The sequence below is a fragment of the Homo sapiens genome, chromosome 11 (genome assembly GCF_000001405.40).
Source record: "Homo sapiens chromosome 11, GRCh38.p14 Primary Assembly".
In the NCBI taxonomy this organism is placed as follows: Eukaryota; Metazoa; Chordata; class Mammalia; order Primates; family Hominidae; genus Homo; species Homo sapiens.
In genome coordinates, this window is record NC_000011.10 from 48190642 (window position 1) to 48204175 (window position 13534).

General features: G+C 38.2%; 1 annotated feature.

The window, feature by feature from the left end:
• Positions 363-899: an enhancer, noted in NCBI's record as "NANOG hESC enhancer chr11:48212556-48213092 (GRCh37/hg19 assembly coordinates)". NCBI's record gives its function as "activates a minimal SCP1, AML or CMV promoter by ChIP-STARR-seq in primed H9 embryonic stem cells {active_cell/tissue: H9 hESC(primed)}" and the evidence as "EXISTENCE:reporter gene assay evidence [ECO:0000049][PMID:30033119]".

The following is a 13534-nucleotide window of genomic DNA, read 5'->3' on the forward strand; positions in this document are numbered from 1 at the left end:
TCATCCAATTTTTTCTCAAAGTTTTTAACTTCTTTGCCATTGGTTCGAATTTCCTCCTGTAGCTCGGACTAGTTTGATCGTCTGAAGCCTTCTTCTCTCAACTCATCAAAGTCATTCTCCATCCAGCTTTGTTCCATTGCTGGTGAGGAGCTGCGTTTCTTTGGAGGAGGAGAGGCACTCTGATTTTTAGAGTTCCAGTTTTTCTGCTCTGTTTTTTCCCCGTCTTTGTGGTTTTATCTACTTTTTGTCTTTGATGTTGGTGACGTACAGATGGGTTTTTGGTGTGGGTGTCCTTCCTGTTTGTTAGTTTTCCTTCTAACAGACAGGACCCTCAGCTGCAGGTCTGTTGGAGTTTGCTAGAGGTCCTCTCCACACCCTGTTTGCCTGGGTATCAGGAGCGGTGGCTGCAGAACAGCGGATATTGGTGAACCACAAATGCTGCTGCCTGATTGTTCCTCTGGATGTTTTGTCTAAGAGGAGTACCCAGCTGTGTGAAGTGTCAGTCCACCCCTACTGGGGGGTGCCTTCCAGTTAGGCTACTTGGGGGTCAGGGACCCACTTGAGGAGGCAGTCTGCCCGTTCTCAGATCTCAAGCTGCATGCTGAGAGAACAACTACTCTCTTCAAAGCTGTCAGACAGGGACATTTAAGTCTGCAGAGGTTACTGCTGTCTTTTTGTTTGTCTGTGCCCTGCCCCCAGAGGTGGAGCCTACAGAGGCAGGCAGGCCTCCTTGAGCTGTGGTGGGCTCCACCCAGTTCGAGCTTCCAGGCCACTTTGTTTACCTAATTAAGTCTCGGCAATGGCGGGTGCCCCTCCCCCAGCCTCGCTGCTGACTTGCAGTTTGATCTCAGACTGCTGTACTAGCAATGAGTGAGACTCTGTTGGTATAGGACCCTCTGAGCCAGGTGCGGGATATTATCTCTTGGTGTGCCATTTTTTTAAGTCTGTTGGGAAAGCACAGTATTAGGGTGGGAGTGACCCGATTTTCCAAGTGCCGTCTGTCACCCCTTTCTTTGACTAGGAAAGGGAATTCCCTTACCCCTTGCACTTCCTGGGTGAGGTGATGCCTCACCCTGCTTCAGCTCATGCACAGTGCACTGCACCCATTGTCCTGCACCCGCTGTCTGGCACACCCCAGTGAGATGAACCCGGTACCTCAGTTGGAAATGCAGAAATCACCCGTATTCTGTGTCACTCACGCTGGGAGCTGTAGACCAGAGCTTTTCCTATTCGATCATCTTGGCTCCTATCCCGGAAATCGAGTCTATCACCTTTTAAATGTCTGAATAGGAAACATTTGTCATTTATTGTCTCTAAGGACAGCCACTATGAGATTTCAAAAGAATCTTGGTCTCTGCAATCTTTTATCTTAATGGCAACATTTCCTTTCTGTTGATCCCATGTCTTTAGACAAATTCAACCAATTGTCAATCAGAAAATGTTTAAATTTACGTATAGCCTGGAATCCCCCTGTCCCCCCACCCCCACTTTGAGTTGCATACCTTTCTGAACCAAACCAATGTATTTCTTAAATGTATTTGATTGATGTTTTATGCCTCCCTAAAATGTATAAAACCAAACTGAACCCTGACCAGCTAGGACACGTGTTCTCAGGACCTCCTGAGGGCTGTGTCATGGGCCATGGTCACTCATATTTGACTCAGAATAAATATCTTCAAATATTTTACAGAGTTTGATTCTTTTTGTTGACAGTAATTTATATATATATATACATGAAAACAGGTTTATTTGGGTTATGGTTCTGTAGGGTGTACAGGAAGCATGGCACCAGCATCTGCTTCTGTTGAGGGCTCCTGGCTGCTTCCACCATGGCTAAAGGGAAAGGGGAGCCAGCATGTATGGAGGTCACATGGCAAGAGAATGGAAGCAAGAGATACAGGGGAGGAGGTGCCAAGCTCTTTTCAACAACCAGTTCTCACAGAAACTAAGACAGAACTCACTCACTCTCATGGGAATGGCACCAAGCCATTCATTAGAAATCTGCCCCATGACCCAGACGCCTCTTACCAAACCCCAGCTCCAACACTGGGAATCAAATTTCAACATGGGACTTGATGGGGTCTAGCAAATCATATCCAAATCATAGTACAGGTTCCCCCAGTAATATCTGAGGGTACCATCATTCCCTGCTGTACCAACAATGGATATTATCAACTTTTATATTTTTGTCAAACTAATAAAGATAGTAAAAATAAAGATGTATTTTAAAGCAATTTATTTTACCTGACTATGAGTTGAGAATTTTTTCATATTTTATTGGCCATATATTTTCTTCTTTGAATTATCTTTTCATAAGCTTTGGTTGTTGACCTTTTCCTTGTTGATTTATAGAAGATAATATACAGTATGGGTTATGATTCCTCATTCTCCTTTGTTGATTTGGGCCCATATTGGCTATACAACACTCGGAGTCTCAGTCATGTTCTCCATATGGCCCTTGGTTTACAGTGTTGGTCTCTCAGTGCCTGTGGTAGGGTATTCTCACCATTGTTGCCCTCCTGGAAGATTCCCTGACTCTCAACTTAGCCACCCTTCACTTTCCTGATAAGGGATAACAAGAATTAATGGATACTTGCATGTCACATGGATGTGCTATACATTTTACTTACTATTTTACTATATTTTGTATCTATCACTGTACCAATACTTCCCTTATTTCATTATTATAATTTTTAATATGTTTTGATATTTACTTCTTATCTTTTTCCATTAAAAAGAAAGTTTGTGAAGGCAGAACTACCAGAAAAGCTGTGTGAGGAACTCATAATGTTTATCTCTAGGAAATAACAAAGAAACCTGGATAAAATTATTGAAAATAATGATTAAAAGACTGGATATTGAGTAAAAGCATACAACAAATTTGGAAGTGCTTATTCAAGAAAATTTACCCAACCTTAGAAAGAAGAGTGGGAGCCTCTGGCATTTTATAGTGAGGCTGCCCCCAGCCCCTCACTCCCCAGCTCCTTGGTGCAGAAGTTCTATTAGGGCAGAGCAGCAGGCTGTAAGGAGAGTAAGCTCCACTGCTGGAGGGAGCTGACTTTATTTGGAGCAGATTAAGGAAAATTTCATGCCTGGGACATTGTCAAAAACAATAGTGATCTCAGTGGCAAGCAATCAGACAAGTGCAACATTTCAGTAGCCTGAAACCTTGAGTCTTGTGGGGCAAACAACAATCTGGTAGACAAGCCAGGAATGTAACAGGAGGATCCAGGGGATGAGAAAGCCAAAGAGGGCCTTGATAAGATCCTTTTTATCTCTTGTGGTCTGGAATACTGTGTTTATGTGAAGGCTGCACGTATGGTCATGAGAGACCAGAGAGAACCCTAATAACTACTTGTCTCTAGCTGAATGTGAGACCTCATGAATGCAGAAAGTAAAAGCTAGGGCAGACTTATAAATGGTCTGAAGCCATCTGAGTCATACACAGATCCACTGGCAAGGGGCAGAAGCCTTACTGCCTCGAGATGTTTAAATTCTTCCTCTGACCAATCATTGACTCACCACAAAGCTACACTGACCTAGAAATGACCTATGGTAAGTCAGGCTTAAAATGTAAAGCAAGAATAAAAAGAAAACTGGAAGAAACATCAGTAGTTGTACACTTTTGGAGGAGCAGACTCCACAAAATTAGTTCAGGCGTCACTAAACAAAAAAATAAATGAAAGATAGTAACAACCTTGTCCCTACATATCCAAAATGTTCAACACACTCCCAGTAAGAAATGCAGAGATTTACATCTATACACAATGTAGTCAAACCCTTGAAAGTCAAAGACAAAAATCTCAAAAGCAGTACGAAAAAACCTTAACTCATTATTTACAAGGGAACCACAATGAGATTAACAGCTGGCTTCTCATCAGAAACTATGTAGGCCAGAAGGCAATGGGATTGCCTATTCAAACTGCTGAAAAATAATTATCAATGAAAACTCCTATATCCAGAAAAACTATTCTTAAAAAAGAAGACAAGGCTGGGTGTGGTGACTCACACCTGTAATCCCAGCACTTTGGGAGGCCTAGATGGGTGGATCACCTGAGGTCAGGAGTTTGAGACCAGCCTGGTCAACATGGTGAAACCCTGTCTCTATGAAAAATACAAAAAATAATTAGCCTGGCATGGTGGCAGTTGCTGTAATCCCAGCTACTTGGGAGGCTGAGGCAGGAGAATCACTTGAACCCAGGAGGCAGAGGTTGCAGTGAGCTGAGATTGCGCCATTGCACTCCAGCCTAAGGGACAAGAGTGAGAGATAATTTTATTGCTAATAGATCTGCTTTACAAGAAATATTAAAGGAAGCTTTTTAGGATCTGACATCAGGTGGTAACATAAACGCATATGAAAAAATTTAAGAACATCAGTAAAAGTAATTATGTAGGACATTATAAAAGATAGTATGAATGTTTATATATCTTTTTTTCTCTTAACTCACTTAAAAGACATTAGATAATTAATAATTATAAAATTATATTGTTGGGCTTATAACTTTTAAAGATGTAATATATTTTAAAATATACAAAGAAAGGGAGAGAAAATGGGTGTATATTAGCACAGGAAAATTACACCAGATGATAACATAAATCCATAAGAAGAGATGAATGATACAGGAATTGATAAATATATAGCTTAATATAGGGGACTTATTTTTGCCTTTTTTCTCTTAGCTTCTTTGAAAGATACAAAATTGCATAAGACAATAATTGTAATACTGTGTTGTTGAATTTATAACATATGTACTAACATACATATGTACTAGAATATGTATTATAATTCCTAGAAAATAGACACTAAATGTTCCTGTCCCTTTTCTGCACAACTTCTTGGGGAAGTAGAGGTTGGAAGTGTTTGCATGCCCCTTTAAACACTTAAGTTGAAGTAGATTGTGAAAAGTTAAGATACATGTTATAATTCCTAGAGTAATGTCTAATCCCATCCTCCACCAAAACATTAAAAAAAAAACAAAGGGATTAAATAGTACACTAGAAAATATCTATTTAATAAAAAAGAAGGTGATAAAGGGGAAACAAGAAAAAAGGACATACGACATATGGAAAACATAGCAAAATGTCAGACATAAACCCAACTGTATCAATACTACCATTAAATGTAAATGGAGTAAACACAGCAATCAGAGGCACAGATTGTCAGACTAGATGGAAAAACAAGATCCAATTACATGCTTTCTACAAGAGACACACTTTAGATTCAAGAACACAAACAGATTGAAAGTAAAAGGTTGAGAAAAGATCTAAGAGAGGAGCACCTATATCAGACAAAAAAAAACCTTTAAGAAAAAATTATACTACTAGAGACAGAGAATATTTTATAATAACAAAAAGGCAGCTAATCAGGGAGATGTAACAATTATAAACATCAATTACAAACTTTTTCCCCTGGATTTTGAATATATCAACCCATTCCCTTCCAGCTTGTAAGATTTCTGCTAAAAAAATTTGCTGATAATCTGATGGAGATACCCTTGTATGTAACAATTTACTTTTCCCTTGCTGCTTTCAAAACTCTTTAAATTTGACAATTTGATTATGTTGTGTCTTCATGTGGATCTTTTTATATTCCTCTTGTTTGGTGTCCTTTGGGTTTCCTGGATCTGGATTTCTATTTCCTTCCAAGGCTACTTTTTGCCATTATGTTTTTGAAAGTTTTCTGTCCCTTTCTCTCTCTTTCCTTCTGGTACATCAATAATATGTGATATGGTTTGGCTGTGTGTTCTCATCCAAATCTCATGTTGAATTGTAATCCCCAATGTTGAGGAAGGAACCTGGTGGGAGGTGATTGGATCATGGGGGTGGATTTTTCCTTTGCTGTTCTTATGATCATGAGTGAGTTCTCATGAGATCTGGTGGTTCAAAAGTGTGTAGCACTTTCCCCTTCATTCTCTCTCTTTCTCCTGCTGACATGTGAAGATGTGCTTGCTTCCCCTTCACTTTTCCACCATGATTGTAAGTTTCCTGAGGCCTGTACAGCTTGTGGAACTGTGAGTCAATTAAACGTCTTTTCTTTATAAATTATGCAGTCTCAGGTAATTCTTTATAGCACTGTGAGAATGAACTAATACAACACGTATGTTGTTATGTTTGATGGTGTCCCATAAATCCCTTAAACTATCCTCACTCTTTTTCATTTTTTTTCTGCTCAGATGGTATGATTTCCATTGACCTATTTTTGAGTTTACCGATCTTTTTTTTTGCCTGATGTGGTTTGCTGTTGAACCTCTCTATTGAATCTCTACGTTCAATGATAATATTCTTCAGCTTTATGATTCTGTGTGTTACTTTAAAAATACTTCCAATCTTTTTGTTAAAATCTTAATTTTGTTCTTGAATTGCTTTTCTGACCTCGGTCAGCATCTTTATGATTATTTTGAATTTGCTGTCAGGTAAATCACATATCTCCACTTCACATGGTTGGTTTCTGGAGTTCTGTTTTTTTTTTGCTTGAAATATATTCCCCTGTTTCTTCATTTTCCTTGACTCTTTGTATTGGTTCCTGTGCATTAGAGAAGACAACTACCTCTCCCAGTCTTGTCAGACTAGCCTTATGTGGGAGAAGAATCTCATCAATCTGTTGGACTAGAAATCTTGAGATGACACTCAAATCTTTGTGTTTGTCTGGTAGAATGTGCCATGTTGTGTCAGTACCCCAACACTGGTAAGGTAGGAGCTAGACTTTCTAGATATAGCCACAAAGATTAGGGTGTTGGATGCATGTTCAAGTTTATTTTATCTTCATGGTGAAGCTGAACATGGGCATTTATCTCCTATTCTCTCTGCACTAAGCTGAGGAGGGGATTTGTACCAAAAGCCTGTGCTCATGTCCAGGCTGCACTCTCTAATCCTGGGGAGATAGCTGCTACAAGTGAGCTAATTGCATGTCTACCTGTTTGTTTTCTGTCATCTAGGTCCATTCAGAAATGCAAAGCCTCATCAAGTCTGAGATCCATGGTCATTAAGGAGACAGTCCCTTGGGTGGGAGCTATAGAAATTGTGGTGCTTGGCCGGGCGCAGTGGCTCATGCTTGTAATCCCAACACTTTAGGAGGCTGAGGTGGGTGGATCACCAGGTCAGGACATCGAGACCATCCTGGCTAACACGCTGAAATGCTGTCTCTACTAAAAATACAGAAAATTAGCTGGGCATGGTGGCAGGCACCTGTAGTCCCAGATACTCGGGAAGCTGAGGCAGGAGAATGGTGTGAACCCAGGAGGCGGAGGTTGAAGTGAGCCGAGATCGTGCCACTGCACTCCAGCCTGGGTGACAGAGTGAGACTCAGTCTCAAAAAAAAAAAAAAAAAAAAAAGAAATTGTGGCACTCAGTAGATGGCCAAACTCCTTCCAGGAAGAATGGATAGGACTAGATACATCACTGGAGTGAGTTGGAGGGAAGGCTCGTAAAGTGAGCTCTGGCTCCAGCTGCTCTACGGCTATTGTTTGTTTGCCCCTTTAGCACCCTGCTGCAAATACCTACCTTAGAAGCCAGGCTGTCAAGTTGCCATTGGAAGTGTATGCTGTAAGCACTTTCCAGAGAGAAAATAGAAACTGAATGTTCCTGTCTCTTTTCTGCACAACTTCTTGGGGATGTAGAGGTTGGAAGTGTTTGCATGCCCCTTTAAAACTGCCTCTCCTGGCTAGGCACAGTGGCTCACACCTGTAATCTCAGCACTTTGGGAGGCTGAGGCAGGGGGATCGCTTGAGCCCAGGAGTTTGAGACCAGCCTGGGTCTCGAAGTAGAACCTCATCTCAAATAAATAAAACTGCCTATTCGGTCTGTGATTTAGGGAGACTTGTGTATGCTCTGTTCCCAGAGCTGAGAGGTTTAGGTTAGAGTCCTTTAGGAGGTAGCTATAAAAGTTGGGGAACTTGATGTATGGCATAAACCCCTTCCAGAGAGAAACAGGACCTACTTAATTTTTTTTTAGATCCTTTGCTTTATGTTCATTATGTACATTCTTTTAAAAAAATATTCACAACTTTTTTTATTTCAATAGTTTTGGGGGAACAGGTGGTTTTTGTTTACATGAATAAGTTCTTTAGTGGTGATTTCTGAGATTTTGGTGCACCCATCACTTCAGCAGTGTACTCTCTATCCAACGTATAGTCTTTTATCCCTTACCCCCTTCCATCCTTCCCCTTGGGTCATCAGATGCCATTAGATCATTCTTATGCCTTTACATCCTCACAACTGAGCTCCCACTTATAAATGAAAGCATACAATGTTTGATTTTCCATTCCTGAGTTATTTCATTTAGAATAATGCTCTCTAACTCTATCCAGGTTGCTGCAAATGCCATTATTTTATTCCTTTTTATGGCTGAGTAGTATTCGGTGATGTATATCCCATTTATTATATATAGCCAGTTCTTTATCCAGTCGTTGGTTGATGGGCATTTAGGTCGGTTCCATATGTGTGTGTGTGTGTATATATATATCCCACTTATTATATATATCCCATTCTTTATCCAGTCATTGGTTGATGGGCATATAGGCTGGTTCCACATATATATATATACATATATATATGTGTGTGTGTGTATACATATATATACACACATAAGTGTATATATACGTACATATATACACACATATATACACGTACATATATACACACATATATACACGTACATATATACACACGTACATATATACACGTACATATATACACGCATATATACACGTACATATATACACACGTACATATATACACGTACATATATACACGCATATATACACGTACATATATACACACATATATACACATATATATACGTACATATATACACATATGTATATACACATATATACACGTACGTATATACACATATATGTACATATATACACATATATACACGTATGTATATACACATGTATATACACATAGGTATATACACACATATATACACATACGTATATACACATATATATACACATATATGTGTGTATGTGTTATATGTATATACCTCCCATTCTTTATCCATTTGTTGGTTGATGGGCATGTAGACTGGCTCCATATATATATATGTGTGTGTGTGTGTGTGTGTGTGTCTTTGTATGTTATATATGTATATATCTCCCATTCTTTATCCATTCGTTGGTTGATGGGCATTTAGGCTGGTTCCATATTTTTGCAATTGTGAATTATGCTGTTATAAACATGTGTGTGCAAGTGTCTTTGTCTTTTTCATATAATGGCTTTTTCCTCCAGGTAGATACCCAGTGGTGGGATTGCTAAATCAAATGGTAGTTCTACTTTTAGTTCTTTAAAACATTTTCTTACTGTTTTCCATAGTGGTTGTACTAGGTTACATTCCCATCAACAGTGTAAAATTGTTCCCTTTTCACCACATCTGTGCTAACATCTATTGTTTTTTAATTTTTAAACTTTGGCCATTCTCCACCCAACACAAAACTAGTGCAATACAACAAGGACTACAATAAAGGACCCTCACAGAGTCCTCTTCATTCCCCTGTTACCTCCACTGGAGCAGGTGCTGGTATTCATGGCAGAGAGACCTGAAGACAGTTCATATCACAGAAGTATGTGCAGACACTCCCTAGTACCAATCTGGAGCCCAGTAGCTCTAATGAGTGGCTAGATCCAGAAGAGAAATAAAAATCACTACAATTTGGCTCTCAGGAAGCCACATCCCTAGGGGAATGGAGAGAGCACCATATCAAGGGAGCACCCCATGAGACAAAATAATCTGAACACCAGTCCTTGAGCCCTAGATCTTCCCTCTGAAATAATCTACCAAAATGAAAAGTAGCCAGAAAAACAATTTTGGTAATATGACAAAAAAGGTTCTTTAACACACCCAGAAGATTACACTAGCTCACCAGCAATGAATCCAAACCAAGAAGAAATCTTTGAATTGCCAGAAAAAGAATTCAGAAAGGTGATTATGAAGCTAATCAAGGAGGCACCAGAGAAAGGTGAAGTCCAACTTAAAGAAATAAAAAAAATTATACAAGATATGAAGGGAAAAATCTTCAGTGAAATGGATATAATAAATAAGAAACAATCACAGCTCCTGGAAGTGAAGGACACACTTAGAAAAATGCAAAATACACTGGAAAATCTCAGCAATAGAATTGAACAAAGTAGAAGAAAGAACTTCAGAACTCAAAGATAAGGCTTTCAAGTTAACCCAAGAAAAACAATAACAACAACAATAAAGAATTTAAAAAATGGACAAAGTCTCCAAGAAGTTTGGGATTATGTTAAATGACCAAACCTAACAATAACGGGTGTTCCCAAGGAAGAAGAGAAATTTAAAAGTTTGGAAAACATATTTGAGGAAATAATCAAAGAAAACCTTCCCAGTCTTGCTAGAGATCTAGACTTCCAAATACAAGAAGCTCAAACATCAACTGGGAAATTCATCACAAAAAATCATTGCCTAGGGACATAGTCATCAGGTTATCTAAAGTCAAGATGAAGGAAAGAATCTTAAGAGCCGTGAGGCAAAAGCATCAGGTAACCTGTAAAGAAAAACCTATCAGATTAACTGATTTCTGCAGAAATCCTACAAGTGAGAAAAGATTGGGATCCTATATTCAGCCTCCTTAAACAAAATAATTATCAACCAAGAATTTTGTATCCAGTAGAACTCAGCTTCATAAATGAAGGAAAGATACAGTCTTTTTCAGACAACCAAATGCTGAGAGAATTTGCCACTACCAATCCAGCACTACAAGAACTGCTAAAAGGAACACTAAATCTTAGAAAAAAATCCTTGAAATACACCAAAATAGAAACTCCTTAATGCATAAACTTCACAAGACCTATAAAACAAAAACACAGTGAAAAAAACCCACAATGTATTCAGGCAACAAATAGCCCAAGGAATATAATAGTACCTCACATCTCAATAATGATGTTGAAAGTAAATGGCCTAAATACTCCACTTAAAAGACACAGAATGGTGGAATGGATAAGAATTCACTAACCAAGTATCTGCTGTCTTCAAGAGACTAACCTAACACATAAGGACTCTGATATGGTTTGGCTGTGCCTCTACCAAAATCTCATCTTGAATTGTAGCTCCCATAATTCCCACGTGTTGTGGGAGGGACCCAGTGGAGATAATTGAATCATGGGGGTGGTTTCCCCCACACTGTTCTCATGGTAGTGAATAAGTCTCATGAGGTCTGATGGTTTTATAAATGGGAGTTCCCCTGCACAAGGTTTTTGCCTATTGTCAGGTGAGACATGACTTCATTCCTCCTTTGCCTTCTGCCATGATTGTGAGGCCTTCCCAGCCATGTGGAACTGTGTCAATTAAACCTCTTTTCTTTATAAATTACCCAGTCTTGGATATGTCTTTATTAGCAGCTTGAGAACAGACTAATACAGACTCACATAAACTTAAGGTAAAGGGGTGGAAAAAGATATTCCATGCAACTGGACACTGAAAGCAATCACAAGTAGCTATTCTTATACCAGACAAAATGAACTTTAAAGCAATAACAATTTAAAAAGACAAAGAGGAACATTATATGATAATAAAAGGCCTTGTCCAAAAGGAAAATATCATAATCCTAAATATATATGCACCTAACACTGGAGCTCCCAAATTTATAGAACAATTATTACTAGACCTAGGAAATGAGATAGACAGCAACACAATAATAGTGGGGGCTTCCTTACTCTACTGACAGCAGTAGACAGGTCATCAAGACAGAAAGCCAACAGAGAAACAATGGATTTAAACTATACCTTAGAACAAATTGTCTTAACAGATATCTACAGAACATTCTACCCAACAACTGCCAAATATACAGTCTATTCAGTAACACATGGCACATTCTCCAAGAAATAACATATAATAGGCCACAAAACAAGTCTCAATAAATTTAAGAAAATTGAAATTATATCAAGTATTCTCTGAGACCACAGTAGAATAAAATTGGAAATCAACTCCAAAAGGAGTGTTCAAAACAATGCAAATTCATGGAAATTAAATAATTTGCTCCTGAATGACTGTTGGGTCAGCCATGAAATCAAGATGAAAATGAAAAATTCTTTGAACTCAATGATAATAGTGACACAACCTATCAAAACCTCTGGGATACAGCAAAAGCAGTGCTAAGAGGAAAGATCATAGCCTTAAATGCCTGCATCAAAAAGTCTGAGAAAGCCTATATAGACAATCTAAGGCTACACCTCAAGGAACTAGAGAAACAAGAACAAGCCAAACTTAAACCCAGCAGAAGAAAAGAAATAACAAAGATCAGAGCAGAACTAAATGAAATTGAAACAAAAATAATACAAAAGATAAATGAAACATAAAGCTGGTTCTGTGAAAATATAAATAAAATTCATAGACCATTAGTTAGATTAACAAAGAGAAGAAGAGAGAAGATCCAAATAATCTCAATTAGAAACAAAGCAGGAGATATTACAACCAATATCACATGAACACCTTAATGCACATAAACTAGAAAACCTAGAGGAGATGGATAAATTCCTGGAAATATACAACCCTCCTACATTAAACCAGAAAGAAATAGAAACCAGTACAGACCAATAACAAGCAGAAAGACTGAAATGGTAATTAAAAAATTGTCAACAAAAAAGAAGTCCACGATCAAATGGATTCATAGCTGAATTCTATCAGGCATTCAAAGAAGAATTGGTACCAATCTTATTGACACTATTCTACAAGATAGAGAAAGAGGGAATCATCTCTAAGTCATTCTATAAAGCCAGTATCACCCTAATACCAAAACCAGGAAATGATATAACAAAAAAAGAAATGTGCAGACCAATATATCTGATGAATATAGATGCAAAAATCCTCAACAAAATACTAGCTAACTGAATCCAACAGAATATCAAAAAGATAATTTGCCATGATCAAGTGAGTTTCATACCAGGGATTCAGGGATGGTTTAACATATGCAAGCCAAGTAAGTGTTTGGCTTCATTTCTGGGTTTTCTATTCTGTTCCATTAGGTTATGTGCCTATTTTTATACCAGTACCATGCTGTTTTGGTAACTATAGCCTGTGGTACAGTTTGAAGCTGGGTAATGTGATGCCTCTAGATTTGTTTTTTTGCTTAGTCTTGCTTTGGATATGTGGGCTCTTTTTGGATTTCATATGAATTTTAGGATTGTTTTTTCTAGTTCTGTGAAGAATGATGGTGGTGTTTTGATAGGAATTTTATTGAATTTTTAGATTGCTTTTGGAAATATAATAATTTTCACAATATTGATTCTATCCATCCATGAGCATGGGATGTGTTTCCATTTGTTTGTGTTGTCAATGATTTCAGCAGTGTTTTGTAGTTTTCCTTGCAGCGGTCTTTCACTTCCTTGGTTAGGTATATTTATAAGTTAAAATACTTATAAAATTTTTTTGCAGCTATTGTAAAGGGGTTGAATTCTTCACTTGGGTCTCAGCTTGGCCATTGTTTTATAGCAGCCTACTGATTTGTGTACAAACTCATTTTGTATCCTGAAACTTTGCTGAATTCATTTATTGGATTCAGGAGCTTTTTGG